This window comes from Homo sapiens, chromosome 2 (genome assembly GCF_000001405.40).
Source record: "Homo sapiens chromosome 2, GRCh38.p14 Primary Assembly".
Lineage (NCBI taxonomy): Eukaryota > Metazoa > Chordata > Mammalia > Primates > Hominidae > Homo > Homo sapiens.
Window position 1 is genome coordinate 32,885,335 of NC_000002.12, and position 18,977 is coordinate 32,904,311.

Sequence of the window (18,977 nt, forward strand, 5' to 3'; positions counted from 1 at the left end):
ATTCCTTATCTATCTCAGTGCTTTTTATTTACAAACTTATTTTTATTCCCATAATATATTGATTCCCACAAAAACTTAATGAGAGAACAGGTCAACTATATGCCCCTTTTACAGGTGGAGAAACTAACACATGGAGCAGCTAAAAGCCTGTTAAGACTCACTTTATAGACAGATAGTAGAGCCAGAAGTCAACACAGCAGCCACCCGATGCTTCTCATTGCAGATCTTCCACATTCTAACACAATTTTTAAGCAGAGACTTCATAGCTGGAGAGTGACTTTATTGAGCAAACGTACAATATTGGCTCAGAAATGGAGGACTTATAAAAACTGTTTCTAGGTGGGATAGTGTCTGGAATTTGTGGGTTCTTGGTCTCACTGACTTCAAGAATAAAGCTGCGGACCCTCGTGGTGAGTGTTACAGTTCTTAAAGATAGTGTATCCGGAGTATGTTCCTTCTGATGTTCAGACGTGTTCGGAGTTTCTTCCTTCTGGTGGGTTCGTGGTCTCACTGGCTTCAGGAGTGAAGCTGCAGACCTTTGCGGTGAGTGTTACAGCTCCTAAGGCGGCGCGTCTGGAGTTGCTCGTTCCTCCTGTCCGGAGTTGTTCGTTCCTCCCGGTGGGTTCGTGGTCTCGGTGGCCTCAAGAGTGAAGCTGCAGACCTTCACGGTGAGTGTCACATCTCATAAAGACAGTGTGGACCCAAAGAGTGAGCAGCAGCAAGATTTATTGCAAAGAGCGAAAGAACAAAGCTTCCACGTTGTGGAAGGGGACCCAAGCAGGTTGCCACTGCTAGCTCGGGCAGCCTGCTTTTATTCCCTTATCTGACCCCACCCACATCCTGCTGATTGGCCCATTTTACAGAGAGCCGATTAGTCCGTTTTGACAGGGTGCTGATTGGTGTGTTTACAATCCCTGAGGTAGACACAGAGTGCTGATGGGTGTATTTACAATCCTCTAGCTAGAGGTAAAAGTTCTCTAAGTCCCCACTAGATTAGCTAGACACAGAGCACTGATTGGTGCATTTACAAACCTTGAGATAGACACAGGGTGCTGATTGGTGCGTTTACAAACCTTGAGCTAGACACAGAGTGCTGATTGGTGCCTTTACAATCCTTTAGCTAGACATAAAAGTTCTCCAAGTCCCCACCCCACCCAGGAGCCCAGCTGGCTTCCCCTAGTGGATGCTGCGCCGGGGCAATGGGTGGAGCTGCCTGCCAGTCCCACACAGTGCACCCGCACTCCTCAGTCCTTGGGCGGTTGATGGGACCAGGCGCGGTGGAGCACGGGGCGGCGCCTGTCGGGGAGGCTCGGGCCATGCAGGAACCCACTGCAGGGGGGCTTGGGCATGGCGGGCTGCAGGTCCCGAGCCCTGCCCCGCAGGAAGGCGTCTGAGGCCCAGCAAGAATTTGAGCGTGGCGCGGGCCGGCCAGCAGTGCTGGGGGACCTGGCGCACCCTCCGCAGCTGCTGGCCCGGGTGCTAAGCTCCTCACTGCCTGGGGCCAGCGGCACCGGCCGGCTGCTTCAAGTGCGGGCCCACTGAGCCCGCGCCCATCCAGAACTCGCACTGGCCAGTGAGTGCTGCACGCAGCCCTGGTTCCCGCCTGTGCCTCTCCCTCTACCCCTCTCTGCAAGCAGAGGGAGCCGGCTCCAGCCTCGGCCAGCCCAGAGAGGGTCTCCCACAGTGCAGCAGCAGGCTGAAGGGCTCCTCAAGCATGGCCAGAGTGGATGCCGAGGCCGAGGAGGTGCTGAGAGTGAGTGAGGCCTGCTAGCACGTTGTCACCTCTCAGGATGATGTAGGGGAAGGAGGGAGGAAGTGACCAGGACAGGAAATAACATTTCACAAGAAGTGCTCTTAAGGGAGGAAGGTTAGAATGATCCATGTGGTATTGGATTAGAGTTAGAGACATCAGAATGAACTCACGAATTTAGCTTAATATAGCTACAGATGGTTACAAATAGATATTTGCAGATATGTATCGATTCATGGATTAGTATGTATAGATACATACATTTTATTGCTCTGTCAGCTAAAAGGGCCTAGAAACCACAACACCCCAATAGTAATGAGCACCCCTAGCACCCAGATCTTGGTTTCTAATACCATTCTCTAGTAAAAGAAACCAGGAATCACTGGAGAAATGGCTGATTCTAGGGCTGCACTAATAACATACAAAAGGAAACTATAGTGCCAGAAAGTAAGGAAGTGCTGGGGTAAAAAGATAGGGGTATGTCAAAGGGATGCAAGAGCCAACTGAAAAGGTTACCAATGGCCAAAGCTTGAACAACTTGAGCAATAAAGTAAATAATGTAGTATTGGCTGATAACCCAAAGTATAAAATAAATGTTAATCCACCTAACAGAAATACATGATTGTATGAATAAATAAATGGGGGAGAAGAGATAAATCTCCCTTGCAGAAGAATTCCAAATAATTTATGTAGATACTCCCCCATCAAGGAGGTGGAAGATATTCTTACCCCTTAAGTGGGGGCTGCATATAATGACTTCTTTCCAAAGAGTCCAGGATGGAAAGAAGGGAGAAAAGAGTAACTTTACAGTGGAGAAGTCTGATAAACCCTACCTCAATCAGAAGATCAAGTTAATATCAATAGTGATAAGTCAACTTGATAGTTAGGTACCCTTCAGGTGATGCCATGAGAATGGTACTTTATCTCAGTGGTCTTCCTTCCAAAAACCCATAACCCCTATCTAGCCATGAGAAAAATGCCAGACAAACTCAAAGTGAAGAATATTCTATAAAATGCCTGACACCTGACCAGTATTTCTCAAAACTATTAAGGTCATCAAAAATAAGGAAATTCTGAGAAACTGTCACAGCCAGGAGGAGCTTAAGTAGACATGACAACTAAATGTAACATTGTATCCTGGATGAAATCCTGGGGCAGAAGAGAGATGTTTGGTTAAAACTAAAGAAATTTGAATTAACTAAGGACTGTAATTAAGAAGACATCAATATTTTTTAGTTTTGATAAATATGCCATATGAATGTGAGATGTTAATAAGAGAAACCAAGAATGGAATATTCAGGAACTTTCTGTACTATATTTTCTTTTCTGTAAATCTAAAACTATTCTAAAATTTAAAGTTTGTCAAAAATTAATTGGGCTGCTAGGGCAGCAACAACAACAATAAAAAAGACATGGAAAACAAAAAGCAAATGAGAAAATAGAAAACAAACAGCAAAATGATGAATGTATGCTCAACCATATAAATATGTTCATTGTAAGTGGTCTAAACACTGCAATTAAAAGCCAGATATTGTCAGAGAATTTTAAAAATACAATATCCAGGCTGGATGTGGTGGCTCATGCCTGTAATCCCAGCACTTTGGGAGGCCAAGGCGGGCAGATCACTTGAGGTCAGGAGTTTGAGACCAGCCTGGCCAACATGGTAAAACCCCGTCTCTACTAAAAATACAAAAATTAGCTGGGTGTGGTAGGACATGTGCCTGTAATCTTAGCTACCCCAGGAGGCTGAAGAAGGAGAATCTCTTGAACCTGGGAGGTGGAGGCTGCAGTGAGCCAAGATCTCACCATTGCACTCTAGCCTGGGTGACAGAGCAAGACTCCATCTCAAAAAAAAAAAAAAAAAAAACAAACAAAAAAAACAATATTCAGTGTATGCTGTCTATACAAGAAACCACTTTAAATATAAAGATACAGATAGATTAAAATAAAAGATGGAGATACATATACCAATCAAGCAATAATCAAGAGAAAGCTGGAGTAGATACAAAGTAGAGTTCATAACAAGGAATATGATCATAGATAAAGAGGACATTTCATAATAAAGGCGTTATTTCATTAAGAAGACAACAGTTCTAATGTGTATGTACTTAATAATGGAGCTTTGAAATATACACAACAAAAACTGATAGAACTGAAAGGAGAATAGAGTAAGAGTTTTCGTTGGAGATTTCAATACTCTTCTCTCAGTAATGATAGAACAAGTAGAAAAGAGAAAATAAGAATACAAAGTAAGTGAAGATAAAGACTTGAACAAATTCCCACCCAGAACATCAGAATAAATTGCACGTCTTTTACATAGCACATTGATGGCTGTCACTTTTTAATCCAGTCTAAAAATCTATACTTTCTAATTTCAGTGTTTAATCTCTTACATTTGATTGATGTAATTTCTGGTGGTGTGAGTTTATGAATCATGTTGCTTTGTTTTCCATGTGTTCTTTCTTTCTTTGTTCCTTCTTGACTGCCTTCTCTTAGATTATTTTCACATTCTTTTTATCTTCTTTATTGCTTCTTACCTATGTCTCTTTGGGTTTTTTTTTTTAAATAATGATGGCTCTAGTGATTTCAATATGCAACCTTAATTTATCATTGTCTACACTGAATAAATATTATAGTACTTCATGGACAGAATAATGACTTAAAACACTATAATTCCATTTACAGCCTTTATCCCTTTGTGCTATTTTGTTATGTGTTTCACTTCTACGTATGTTACAAACCCCACAACACTTGCTATTATTTTTATCTAAACACTCAAACATCTTTTCAAAATTAAAAAAATAAAAACTAGTCTTTTATATTTACCCACATATTTACCTTTTTTAGTGCTTTTCATTCCTTCCTGTAGATTCCTTCTGAAATCTGGCTTCCATCTGGGATAACTTCCCTTTAGCTGAAAAAAACTCTAGAGATTTTAGTGATATAAACATATAAACAAAATGGCCCATTTCTTGTAGTTTGGGTCTGTTGGTAACACATTCTCTGAGCTTTTTTTTTTTTTTTCCATTAAAAGTGTCTTTATTTCCCCCTCATTCTGAAGTTTATTTTCACAGGATGTAGAATTCTAGGTTGATAATTGTTATGTATTTTTAAAACACTTGGCCAGGCACGGTGGCTCACGCTTGTAATCCTAGCACTTTGGGAAGCCCAGGCGGATGGATTGCCTGAGCTCAGGAGATTGAGACCAGCCTGAGCAACATGGTGAAACTCGTCTCTACTAAAATACAAAAAAAAAAAAAAAAATTAGCCGGCATGGCAGTGTGTGCCTGTAGTCCCAGCTACTCAGGAGGCTGAGGTGGGAGAATTGCTTGAACCCAGGAGGCAGAAGTTGCAGTGGCTGAGATTGTGCCACTGTACTCCAGCCTGGTGACAGAGTGAGACTCCGTCTCAAAAAATAAAAACAAACAAACAAAAAAACCATTTCAATGATATGGTTTTACTCTATTCTGAATTCTATTATTTCTGATAAAAAGTCAGTTGTCATCCATGTCTCTCCTCCCACATTCCAAACCCCCTCTTTCTCCCAAATATAAAGTGTATTTTTTTCTTTGACTTTTTTTTTTTTTTTTTTTTGGAGACAGGGCCACAGTTCTGTCCCAGGTTAGAATGCAGTGAGTTTTGTTTTTGCCACAACTCACTGCAGCCTCGACCTCCCAGGCTCAAGTAATCCTCTTGCCTCAGCCTCCTGAGTAGCTAAGACCACACACCACCATGCCTGGCTAATTTTTTATTTTTTGTAGAGACGAGGTATCATTATATTGCCCAGGATGGTCTCAAACTCCTGGACACAAGCAATCTGCTCAACTTACCCTCCCAAAATGCTAGGATTATATACCTTTCAACATTTATTTTATCCAATTTTCTTTGTCCTTGCTTTCTGAGACTCCAATTCTATGTATATTAGACTATTTGATATTGTCCCCCCAAATTAATATTTTTATTTTTAATCTTTTTCTTCTCTGTGCTTCTGTTAAGATAATTTCTATTCACTTGTCTTTAAATTTTCCAATGCTTTATCCCCCTGTGTCCAGTATTCTTAGGAATTTAGTTCACATATCCTCCTTTTCATTGTTCACTGGCTTTAAAAAGTAGACAGACAGACAGATATTTTTCCCTTGGCTTGAGTAACAGTCTTTTACAACTGTCTACATTTTAATTGGAAATAGAACCTTGAGTGGGTCTTAAGCAGTCTTATATCATACAAAGAACATGCTAAAAATGTAGTATTTCTGGGAAATACTATCAGACATCAGACAATATCTAGGATATTAAAAAAAAATTCCTTAGGTGGTTCTAATGCAGGAGTCCCCACACACCCTTAAAGAAACACTAATTTGTTGTTAGAAGCTGAAGTCAAAATAAAAGTTAGCAGTCAAATGCAAATGAGTTTCAATTGAGGCCTCAGGAAGACCATCAACAAAGCTATCAGATTGCTTTACTAAATTCAACTTTCGAAAACTCATAGCCATTATGAAAACCAGTGTGGAGGTTCCTCAAAAAATTAAAAATGTAACTACCATATGATCCAGATTAGTACCTTCACCTATGAGCAGACTTCTGGGTATATGTCCAGAGGAACTGAAATCAGCATCTTACAGAGATATCTAACCCATCATGTTCATGGCCGCATTATTCACAATAGCCAAGATATGGAATCATCCCAAGTGTCCACTGATGGATGAGTAAATAAAGAAAATGTAGTATAGGCACACAGTGGAATACTATTCAGCCTTTGAAAAGAAGGAAGTCCTGTCATCTGTGACTACACGGATTAACCTGGAAGATATTATGCTAAGTAAAATAAGCCAGGCACAGAAAGATAAATACTGCACGATCTCATTTATATGTGGAATCTACAAAAGTCAAACTCATAGAGGCAGAGAGTAGAATGGTGGTTGCTAGGGGCTGGGGAGTGGTGGGGTGGTAGAGTGGGGGTGGGGAGATGTTGGTCAAAGGGTACAAAGTTTCAATTAGACAGAATAAATAAGTTTTGGAGATTTATTGTATACCATGGTGACTATAGTTAATGATAATGTTTTGTATACTTGAAAATTGCTAAGAGAATAGATCTTAAATGTTCCAACCACAAAAAAAGGATAAGTATGTGAGGTGACAGATATGTTATTAGCTTGATATAATCATTTCACAATGTATATGTAAGAACATCAGGTTGCACACCATAAACATATACAATATTTATTTGTCAATTATACCTTAATAAAGCTGGTGGAGGGACAACTTAATTTAAATAAACTGGTAAATATGGAAACAGACATGGCCTGTAATTTCCAAAAGCCATGTAGTTACTCCATTTCATTTGTTCTTGATTTTATGCTGGGCTGTAGCTCCTCAGTGAACCAACTAAAGTCATAATTAGACAGTTTTAGGAGACAAGAACGTCTTCAGTGATGTGTATAGGCAGGCTTGCATAACTCTTTGAAAGATCTCCAAAGAGGAATATGAATGATTGAGAACACATAGATCTGCTATTTACCAATTAATCCTAAGGTTCCATGGCCTGGAACAATTACCAAGAGCTAAAGACATTAACTTGGATATTGTGTGGCTATCAAGAAAGGACTCTAATTTTTGAACAAATATACCAGAAATTATGCACTCAAATGAGTGCAGTTCTCTTCAACAGGCAAAAAGAAATTGAGTATCAACCCTGCTTCATTGGTTTCACTCCCTAGAGAGTTGCATTGGGGATTTTAAGGTAGAATATAGCTCAGCGGGAAAGAGTCATCTATGAGCATGGTCTGCCATGAACATGGCTAGGGTCCATGGCAACAGAAGTGGTACATAATTGCCCTTCCTGGGTTAATGGTAAGAGCCTCGGGTTTGAAGCCTTGAGCATAAATTTGGCTCTGCCATCTACTAACTGTGAGATCTTGTGAAAACACATTCTCTGAGTCTCAATTTATTTTATTTAATGGTAATTGGTCACAAAAAATTTCCACTTTCTATTTCATAGGTATACATGTGATATCCCCTTTGAAACTTAACAGTGCACTAATAGCAAGTTGTTCTTCAAGGAAGTCACTTTGGTAGGCTATGATCTTATTTACAACAATTCTGTCATTGCACATTCTTTGGGAGTGCATTTATAAACAGTTTGAGCAATTTGGGAGAAGCACTTTTACATGTCCCTGTGATGGCTAATTTTATGTGTCAATTTGGCTATGGTAAGGGATACCCAGAAAATGAAAAAAAAATTATTTCTGGGTGTATCTGGAAGGGTATTTTCAGAAGATATTAGCATTTGAATTAGTAGACTGAGTAAAGAAGATTACCTCTCATCAGTGTGGGCAGGTATCAGCAAATCCATCAAGGGCCCAAATAGAATAAAAAGGCAGAGGGGGGCGAATTCTCTCTCTTTTTCTTGAGCTAGATGTCCATCTTCTCCTGCCCTTGGACATTAGAGCTCCTGGCTCTTGTGCCTTTGGATTCTAGGACTTATACCGGAGCCCTCTTGCCTCCAACTGGGAGATACACCATTGGCTCCCGTAGTTCTCAGGCCTTTGGATTTGGACTGAACCATGGGAATTGGCTCACAAAGTTATGGAGGCCAGGAAGTCCCATGATATGCCATTTGCAAACTGGAGAACCAGCATCATGGGACTTCTTGGCTTCCATAATTGTGTGAACCAATTCCCATAGTACATCTCCTCTTATGTATCCATAATTATTCTATTTGTTCTGTTTCTCCAGGGAATCCTGACTAATACACGGTGTTTTGATAATTCAGCTAGATCACCTACAAATCGATCAGGAACTTTGGATTCAAATGATATCATTGTTGCCAAAAATCGAATTCACTATTAGTGGATGAAGATTTGTTACCACTGGGTTATTAAAAAGCGTAGGCCACAGGCTTTTGAAGATTCTTCCCAAAGAGGAATTCCAAAAATGATTTATGCAATTGCAGCCTCATTAGTGTAAGAGTATGGTCTCCCAAGGGAGCTATGTTGAAGGCTGAAACTCACTTGAATATGTAATCTTCTGTTAGCTTGTTTAATTAATCGGTCATTTTGCGTTAGAATCTCATGGATGTATAGCAGAGTTACCATGCTTTGAATGAGAATGATGGTCACACACTGATCCTGCAGTAATCTCTAAGAATATAAACAAGGTAGCCCAGATGAACTCTCACCCTCTGATAGAGAGGGAATTGGAGCTTTCTGGCGCTTACTGATAACATAACAAGAATATCTTCAGTGATGTGTATAGGCAGGCCTGTATAACTCTTTGGAAGACCTCCAAAGAGGAATATGAATGATAAGTCTCCAAGCAAACAACTATTTGTAACCCCAGAATTATAAAATATAGATGTAATACGGTTGTGAAAATCCTTTCTGTTTGGGCCAGGCACAGTGGCTTATGCCTGTGAATCACTTTGGGAGGCCAAGGTGGGAGGATTGTTTGAGCCCAGGAGTTCAAGACCAGCCTGGGCAACATAGTGAGATCCTGTCTTTACAAAAAAATTAAAAATTAGCCAGTTGTGGTAGCACATGCCTGTGGTCCCAGCTGTTTGGAAGGCTGAGATGGAGGACTGCTTGAGCCCAGGAGGTTGAAACTGCAGTGAGCCATATCTACACCACAGTACTCCAGCCACTTCAGCTTTGAGGACAGAGCGAGACCCTGTCTCAAGAAATAAAAAAAAAATAGGAATGAAAAAAGAAAATCCTGTTTGTTCAAAAGTAACTACTATGGTTAGGCAAAGGCAGGAAATGTTAGAAGAAATGCAGCGAGAAGTCCTTGGAAGGAGTATATTTTAGCATTGGAGTCTGGGCTACGTGAAGGAGATGTTGACACAGATCCAATCCTAAACTGTTAGGGAGGGTGCAGTATCTCTCTGAGACTGTGTCATGAGGGATCTCTGCCCTTTTCCTGAGCTTTAGAGGGTCATACTCTAGACTTTTTCTCTCTATGAGAAGAGGAGTCCACGGGCTAAAGGGTTGTGCCCCCCTTAAGCCCACTGTGGTAGAAGGAATTCTAAGATGGCACCCAAGATTCACGCACTCTCTATCTTCCCCCTCTTTGAGTGTGAGTGTGACCTATGAATCACACTCCATGATTAGGTGACATTATATGGCAAAAGTGGAGGGATTTGCAGATATAATTATCGTTTCTCATCAGTTAACTATAAGTCAACAAAAAAAGATTGTCCTGGATGGACCTTACTTAGTAAGGTGAAATCCTTTAAAAGAGGGCTGAACCCTTCATGAAAAGAGAGAATCTGCTGGTCTTGAAGAATCAAGTTGCCATTAGTTCTATAGCCACAAGGAAATGAATTCTGCCAATGACCATTTGAGCTTGAAAGAGGACTCTGAACCTCAGATGAAACTGCAGCCCTGGTTGACACCTTGACTGCAGTCCAGTGAGACCCTGAGCAGAGGAACCAGTTAAGCCACACTCAGACTCTTGACCCAAGGAAATCATGAGATAATGGACATGTGTTGTTGTAAGGCATTAAGTTGGTGGTGACTTGAGATGCAGCATGGAACAGGAATTCACCCATGCCTCATCTTCTAGTCTAATGGCACGCAAAGTTTGATCTGTTTACTGCTGGTCCAGGATGAGCTAAGTATAGAAAGTGAGAGTAAGTGGTACTTTTTATGGCAATTTAACACTGCTGAAATATTTAAATTATATTTTACAAAAATGTGGATCCACAGTAGAGTGAACTTTTTAAAAAAAGCATTTTTCACCAGATAAGTACTGTTCTAGTTCATGATCTGCCTTCTTAGAATTCTGAATTCTCTGCCCACCTGACCCTGAAAGAGGAATGAATTAGCTCTTCAAGGGCCTGCTCAGTCCTCTTTCTTTGGTCTGCCTGTATAAGGGCAGACAGTGCTGCTGCTGAACTAACCCCTAGCCCTGACAGTTGGCCAAGAAACAGCTCTTTATGGGGGTTGAAGATGGAGCTTCAGATGTGTGGGTTGGCAGGTTCACACATGACTATAAGCACCTGGAAGTGCTGGATAGAAAGATGGGAAGAGAAGAGAGGAATAACCAGGGGCCAGAAGCTATGAATGGCTGTTCATATGTAACCTCAAAATTCCCTGCTAAAACATGGGAAATCCCAAATTTTTAAGTTCAAATACAGCTTTCGGGTCATTGTGAAGGTCTATTGGCCAAAGTAGAAGGAAAGAACATATTTTATTTAATATTATGCTAGCTTGGCTTATGTTTTTAAACATTCTAGACATATGCTATGCCGGCCTTCATTTGTTCTCCTGTACTGGCCTTGTAAATATGTTAAGAGTGGGCCTGGAGAGTGGTCTCTTCTGGAACACTTCCATCTACTTCTCCCAGAGATTGCAAACCTAGAATCTGGAGCTGCTGAAGTGGAAGGGTTTTGTTCTTTTTTGTTGTTGTTTTTAGTGATGCCTCATCATAATTAACACAAAAAGGTTTTCTGCACTAATGATGCTTAGATTTTTTTAACCCATTTTTCTCTAACTGCATGATGGTAGGTGCTATGGTTTGAATGCCTCCCAAAATCTGCATGTTGGAAACTTAATACTCAGGCAGCATTGTTGGGAGTTGGGGCCTAATGAGAGGTGATTAGGCCATAAGGGGGAAGTAAATGGATTAAAACCCATTTATGCCTAGTGTTCCATTATTGGAACACTAAGCATGTAGGAGTTATTTATATCTACTGCTCAAGGTCTGATTGGCAAAAATTCAAAAAATTGCAACCTCAGGCAGAAATGGTTTAATACTGTTATCATGGAAATGGGTTTGTTATAAAAGGGTGTGTCTGGCCCCCTTTTATCTCTCTCTCTTTTGCCCTTCCACCTTGGGATGGCACAGCAAGAAGCCCCTCTCCGGATGCCGGCCCCTCTTGGACTTCCCAGCTTCCAGAATTGTGAGCCAGTCAATTTCTGTTCATTATAAATTACCCAGTCTCAGGTATTCTGTTATAGCAGCACAAAACAGACTAAGACAGTGGGTTATCCTAAATCCATACTATGCCAGCGAGAACCAAGGGGTGTAGCATGTTTCCTGAGCAGTGTTTCAGATCCCCAGCAGAAGGTAAATGCTGTAAATTACTGTGCATTTGCCACAGTGTAGTAGACTGAATAGTGGCCACCAAAGATATCCAGGTCCTAATCCCTAACACCTGTGAATACTAATGTAATGTGTCAAAACAGGCTTTGTAGATGTGATTAAGTCAAGGAATTTTCGATGGAGAGAGTATCCTAGATTAACTTGGTGGGACCTAAATGCAATCACAAATGACCTTATAAGAGAGAGGCAGAGGGAGACTTGACACCATATAAAGAAATGGGACATTAAGGCAAGAGGCTGAGGTATTGGCTTTGAAGATGGAGGAAGGGGCCACAAGCCAAGGAATGCAAAGAGTACATCTCTAGAAGCTCAAAAGATAAGAAAAAGGATTCTCCCCAAAAGCCTCCAGAAGGAGTGCAACCCTACCGATGCCATGATCTTGGGCTAATGTAACTGATTTTACATTCTGACCCCCAGAACTATTGGAGAATAAAAGTGTGTTATTTGAAGCCACTAAGTTTGTGGTAATTTGTCACAGCAGGTAAAGTAAACTAATATACACAGCAAACAATGAGAATATTTTTAAAATCTGAATTAAAAGTCTGGGATTTTGGTGTGTGTGCAACCACTACCAGTTTTCTAGATACTCTTCTAGAGACAAGGTATTGTGAAACAGACAATATAAGTGAGAATGGAAGAGAGTAACACAGACCCAAAGGGCATGCTTCAAAAGCCACAGGGGAGGCCAGATCCCAGCTGACACACCACTTTAGAATAAGAGTGTTTCCTCAAAATAACTGAAGGAACACCGAGAAGGGCTATAGATGTGTTCAGCTTTATTCCCACAGTTGACATTTATAATGTATCAGTCCCTCCCTGTTAATAGCTTGACTGACAGACAATCAAAGGATGTGTGGGACTCATAAATAGTCCGAAGCACACCCAAGAGGGAGCATTTGTAATGCAGCCTTCAGAGACTAGGTAGAAAGGAAAGGAAGGGAGCAAAGGAAAACTCAGGGAGGAATTTAAGGGACAAGTGTTCCTGACCAAAATGTCAGAGCCTGGACTAAGCTCTTGATCACAAAGAAATGGTGAGAAGCCCCGTAGCTGAAATTACTGTGAGAGCCCGTTGGAGTCAGAGGAAGTATTTGTGGTGGGATTACAGGGAAACTTTTCTACTTCTTGTCTCCACATAAGCCCCAGGTTAGTCCCAAAGGACTGTGGATGCTGTTGAGGCTTAGTGAACACCCAGTAATGGGAGAAGAAGAGACTCGCTTTCAGTACCATATTCCCTTGGGTACAGAGAAAAAGCTCAGGCCGTTTTGAAAACAGCTGCTGCACTTTTCCCAAATGACCTTTCTTTGTTCCCTTCAGCTCCAAGCCCTTGGACTCATTCTCCATTTTTCTCTTTATGCAGGTGTATGTTTAAGCTCAGGCTGGAAAAGGATCACTGAAAGTCACTTGGATGGTGTCTCGTGTGTCTGTGATGAGCTTGCTGTTGCTTTCTTTCTCCTTGACAGGTGGGTTTATTTCTTATGGAATCAGACCTTTTGGCTACAGTGTTCTCTAAACAGCTGTAATACCATCTCACTCAGTTAACCTAACTTTGGATCTGATGTACATCAGAATAAAACCTATAGAGAATAGAGCTGACTTCCCCAAATCCATGTGCCTCCACTAACCCCCAAGGAGCTTAGTGTGGCTGGTTGTGAATGACAGTGATCTCCGTGATGAGAAGTAATCCCTCCTCTAGAAATACTTTACCTGTTTTCTTTGGTGCTTAACACCCTCTGCATGAGACATTGCTCTATGGGCTTTCATCTCCCCTGTGACAAAGGACACATCTTTCTCATTTCCACATTCCCTCCTCTTGCTTCTCCCCCATGCCACCTCCCCTTTGTCCCTCTACCAACACATAGGTACCTGCGTCAGTTAGGCACCTACTCTACAGCCCATGGAACAAATAAAGCTTTCAAACATTAGTTATTTAATCAATGGGTCAAAAAAAAACAGTATCTGAATATGCGCAGCATCTAACCTTTTTGATGGGCTTTTGAATCTAGTGCCTCATTTTGTCTCTTCAACATCCCTCTGAACTCAGTATAACAAGTAGTAATAGCCCCATTGAACATATAAAAAAACCTGACATCTGGGAAAGTTTTAACTTAGGAAAAGGTCACATTGCAGATTATTGGCAGAGTTCACATTAGAATCTGTTTCTTACTCTGTTGTCCTCACCACTATACTATGGTGCTTTCGTTCATTGAGTTGACCTATGGTAAAGTTATAAGCCTTGCTGTTTTTGCAAGTGGGGAGACTGGGACTTGGGCATCTGAATTTTGACCTGGAGGTTAATGGTGTCAATAGGAATGTAACTGCATGCAGTCTCTTAGATGGATGGATGGTAAGAAAACCTTTACTTTCTATATAACTCCAGAAGACAATTCTGTCATTTTAAACTACAAATATCAACTATGGTTTTTTTGGGAGGAATATTTATTATTTAATTTTAAAAAATTATTTTTGATACAAAGTCTTGTGCTGTTGCCCAGGCTGGAGTGCAGTGGCGCCATCTTGACTTATGTAGTCTCTTCCTCCCAGGCTCAAGCAATCCTCCTGCCTCAGCCTCCTGAGTAGCTGGGACTACAGGTGTGCACCACCACACCGGACTAATTTTTATATTTTCTGTAGAGGCGGGTTTCACCATGTTGCCCAGGCTGGTCTCAAACTCTTGGGCTCAAGCAATCCTCCCGCCTCTGCCTCCAAGTGTTGGGATTGCAGGTGTGAGCCACTGCACCCAGCCAATTTTTTTTTTAAGTTTCTTGTGGGTACCCTGTAGGTGTATATATTTGTGGAGTACATGAGATGTTTTGATACAGGTCTGCAGTGTGTAATAATCACATCATGGAGACTGGGGTATCCCTTCTCTCAATCACCTCCCTTTTGTTTTACTATTTATTTATTTTTAAATGAACTCTTATTTATGTGAGATGACTTTGTTAAGGGTGAGGACAGGGACAGATACTTGCTTCCTTTTCTGCCATGTCACTGCCAGTCCATATTAGAGCCCACTCTGGAGGCTAATGAATTTTTCTTCTCTCTGTGTCCCGTCAGCCCCAGTCCCCTCTGCCCATTGGACCCACTCTTCCCAGGACCCCGGGTTCACAGCTAATGCCTTTCAGTCAGAGGCAGGAGTAGATTATTTAGTTTCTTCCCAGAGAAACTCCCCACAGCCCAAACCACATTTATCCTGCAAATATTAACCACTTTTCATAGCAGTGCATCCATGAGTTATTATGCTAACAGCTGCCTCTGCTTCATTGTGCAAAAGATATTTTCCCAGCAAAGGGTGGGGACGCAGGGCAGAGGAGGGTGAGAAGGGAGGAAAATCCCACCCTGTCACGCTCGTTTAAAGTTATCATGTGCCGCCCGCCCCCCATTCATTCAACACACATTTACCTTCTGGCAGCAACTGCGTTATGAGATATAAATATGAATAGAATGCAATGCTCTACCTAAGGGAATTCATGGCTAAGAAAAAGAAATAGACACAAATAGGTTTGTTGTAAAGCGAAGTGGAATTAGAGCAGGTCCAGCAAAGAAAGGCAGCAGGGACAAGGGACAGGCATTCCAGGCAGCAGGACAGGGTGAGCCGAGGCATGGAGGTGGGAAACAGCTCACTGTGTGTGTCGTATCTCTCCAGGCAAAGCTCCCTGAAAGAGGAAAGAGCCAGGGAAGTGACAAGCAGAGCCCAGAGGGGCTTGCAAGCCATGTTAAGGAGCTTAGGGGTGGGGTGGGAACTGAAGGGTTTCAAGCAGGGGAACAATGGCAGATGCGCAGTTGCGTGGATGGTAGATGGGAGGATGGATCAGATTAGGGCAAAACTGAAAGCAGGGACCAGTCACAAGAGGAACTTCATTCCAGGGAGAGATGTTGAGGGTCTGAACTGAGGCAGTGCAGTGGGAAGAGAAGGATGAATTAGAAAACAGTTGCAGAGGGACTTGGGAGGTCATGGGAGCTAGATGGGGATGAGGGCTGAGGGAGAAGTAGCAGTCTGGAGGGGTCTTTGAGTAAGGCTGGAACCCCTCTCTAGAACTCTCTGCCCAGTGCCCAGAGAACCTCACAGGAGATAAGAAGATGGACACACAGAGTTGATGGCTGCTCAAGACATTGTCCCCTCCCCTACAATCCCCCGTTCAAAGCTGGTGAGGAGTATGGCCAAGCAGTCTGACCCCAGGACTGTGGTCCTCAGCAGGGCGAGGGTGGGGAGGATTTCGAAAGTGGGAGACCAGAGTGAAGCAAGAGGCTGTCAGCGGAAGGACTGGAAGGGCCAGGCCCACGTGGTCACGTGTTTGCAGCTTTAGCTAATTCATCCTCCCAACGTCTCTATGAGGGTGACACAGTTATTGCCCCATTTTACAGGGGAGAAAATTGAGGCTCAGCAGGTAATCTGTGGCCAAGTTACAGACCACAGTGCTGGCATGTGGAGGGCATTTCCTCCAGCTCAGCATAACTGGCATGGGAGAAAGACTGGCTTCACCACAGCAAGCCCCACAGGGCCATCAGAGTGGACCAGGGAATAGTGCAGCCGGGGAGACCTAAGCAGAACTTCCAGTGACAAGGAGAGGATTCTCTGGAGGCAGCTGGGAGGGGCCCATGAGACGCCTTTGGGCATTCACAAAAGGTGTGAGGGCTTTGGGGTCCCAGCAGATTTCCTCAGGGTGGGGTAGGGTAGAGGTAGGGAAAGAGGCTGAAAAAGATCATGATTTTGTTGCAATTTTATTAACCATCTTTCTTAGTTTTTACCTGCATTTATATGCAGGCTAACAGCCCCTGAAAGAGTTCATAAACTCAGCCTCTGAATCTGTCCCATCATCCCCACAAGCATCCTGGGAAAGAGAGTCTTTTCATTTTCTCTGTCTCTGTCTCTCTCTCAACAGATGAGAAAACAGTGGCTTCAAAGGTTAAACAACTTGTCTTCGATTGCACAGCTAACAAGAGGTAAAACTGGAATTTGAATCGTGGTACTGTGACTTCAGAGGCCAGGTTCGTAGCGCTACACTAACACAGAGACCAGAAGAAGCCTTGACATTATCATAAAACCACAGACATGATACAAGGCCAGGAAGAAGGAGGCTTGGGAGCTTATTAGCTGAAATATATTGATCACCTTTTCACAGCTTTCTCTTATTATCCTCCCAATGTCTCTGTGAGGACAGTACAGTTATCACCCCATTCTAGAGATGAGGAAACTGAAGCTCAGAGGTGTTAAGAAACTTGTTCTAGGTCACACAGCTAGTAATGCTTGGGATCAGGATTTGAATTTAGATTTGTCATATTCCAAAGTTTACCTATAGTCTCAGCTACTAGGGAGGCTAAGGCAGGAGAATTGCTTGAGCCCAGGAGTTTGATTTCAGATTGAGCAACATAGTAAGATCCCATGTCAAAAAAGAAAAATAAACAGGTGAAATTAATTTTAACAATATGCTTTACCTAACCCAATATATGCAAAATATTACATTTTAACATGTAATCAATATTTTCAAAGTTAATAATGAATACCAGAAATAACACATGTGCTAATAACATGTACGCTGCAACACTAATATCTTACCTGATACAACAGTTAAAATCAAGTCCCACCAGAGCAATAAAGTTGTGTCTACCAGAAAAATATTTTACACTGCTTCCATTTTTAAATTTACATTTAAATTAATTGACATTAAGTAACATTTAAAACTCAGTTCCTCAGTCACACGGGCTACATTTTAAGTGTGCAACAACCACATATGGCTAGTGGCCACAGTGGTGCTGGTTAATGAGCACAGCTCTAAGCCTTCCTTGTGTGTTTTTTTAAAAATTCAATTCAGATTCCACTTCCATTGTTTGCTTGTTTAACCTTAAAATCTGTGTGTTTTAACAGACCTGTGTTTAAGCCTTATAAGTCCCATCACAAAGTGTCAGTGGTTTGGAGAGAGGTTCTAGAACGTTCTCTTTGTAACATTATCACAAATCTGTGGTTGTTAGGCTGCTCTTGGTTTATGTTTGAGTTAAACCCTTTGTGTGGTGTCAGACCAATTCAGGCTTATGTTTTCCCCGGAGAGAGGAATAAGCTGCTATTTTGGACCCTGTCGTGATCCCTGCCCAGAGTCAAAAGTAATTCCCAAGCAGACTGATTTTTACAGGGTCATGCTCCTCTGATCTTCTCTCCAGGAGTGTGATTTTCAACGGGATAGAGAAAGGCAAACTCCTGAGGAAAAATTTCTCTGGGAAAGCCCAGGCTGAAGTCGAGGAGGGAAGAGGACGAAAGGCTGACAGGGTTGCCGTCTCTGAGGGAGATCCACTCACACACCTCAGGAGGCATTGTGGGATGGTCAAAGTGGGGAGGAAGAAAGGGAATCTTCGAAAGAAACTTGCGGCGGGGCACGGTGGCTCACGCCTGTAATCCCAGCACTTTGGGAGGCTGAGATGAGTGGATCACAAGGTCAGGAGTTCGAGACCAGCCTGGTCTGGCCAACATGGTGAAACCCTGTCTCTACTAAAAATACAAAAATTGGCCGGGCTCGGTGGCTCACGCCTGTAATGCCAGCGCTTTGGGAGGCCGAGGCAGGTGGATCCCCTGAGGTCAGGAGTTCAAGACCAGCCTGACCAACATGGAGAAGCCCCGTCTCTACTAAAAATACAAAAAAAAAAAAAAAAAAAATTAGCCAGGCATGATGGCACACACCTGTAATCCCGGCTACTTGGGAGGCTGAGGCAGGAGAATTGCTTGAGCCCGGGAGGCAGAGGTTGCGGTGAGCCGAGATTTCACCATTGCACTCCGGCCTGGGCAACAAGAGCAAAACTCTGTCTCAACAACAACAACAAAAAATTATCCGGGCGTGGTGGCATGCACCTGTAATCCTAGCTACTTAAGATGCTGAGGCAGGATAATTGCTTGAACCCGGTAGGCAGAGGTTGCAGTGAGCAGAAATCGCACCACTGCACCCCAGCTTGGGTGACAGAGCAAGACTCTGTCTCGGAAAAAAAAAGAAAAAAAGAAAGAAACTTAGGCTGAAAGGTTTAAATGGACACAGAACAGCAAACTCAAGGACTTCCATAGCTACTGGGAACCAGCACAGGGCTGACACCTCCATTGAACTCTCTTTGCTATTCTAGAATATTTTAATAATGAGACACACCCAAAACA

At 42.4% G+C, this 18,977-nt stretch overlaps 1 long non-coding RNA gene across 1 annotated transcript, besides 1 other annotated feature; it reads right to left on the minus strand.

The window, feature by feature from the left end:
* LOC105374453 (uncharacterized) lies at nucleotides 654-17,756 on the minus strand. The gene is made up of 3 exons (XR_939938.2): nucleotides 17,403-17,756; nucleotides 4,589-4,664; nucleotides 654-681 (listed from the first exon to the last, which is right to left on the minus strand). It is a non-coding gene; the product is annotated as an uncharacterized LOC105374453 (long non-coding RNA).
* Nucleotides 751-951: a silencer, noted in NCBI's record as "fragment chr2:33111152-33111352 (GRCh37/hg19 assembly coordinates)". NCBI's record gives its function as "represses an EF-1alpha promoter that drives an FKBP-Casp9 reporter gene in an ReSE screen in HepG2 liver carcinoma cells {active_cell/tissue: HepG2}" and the evidence as "EXISTENCE:reporter gene assay evidence [ECO:0000049][PMID:32094911]".
* Nucleotides 17,757-18,977: the final 1,221 nt, after the last annotated feature.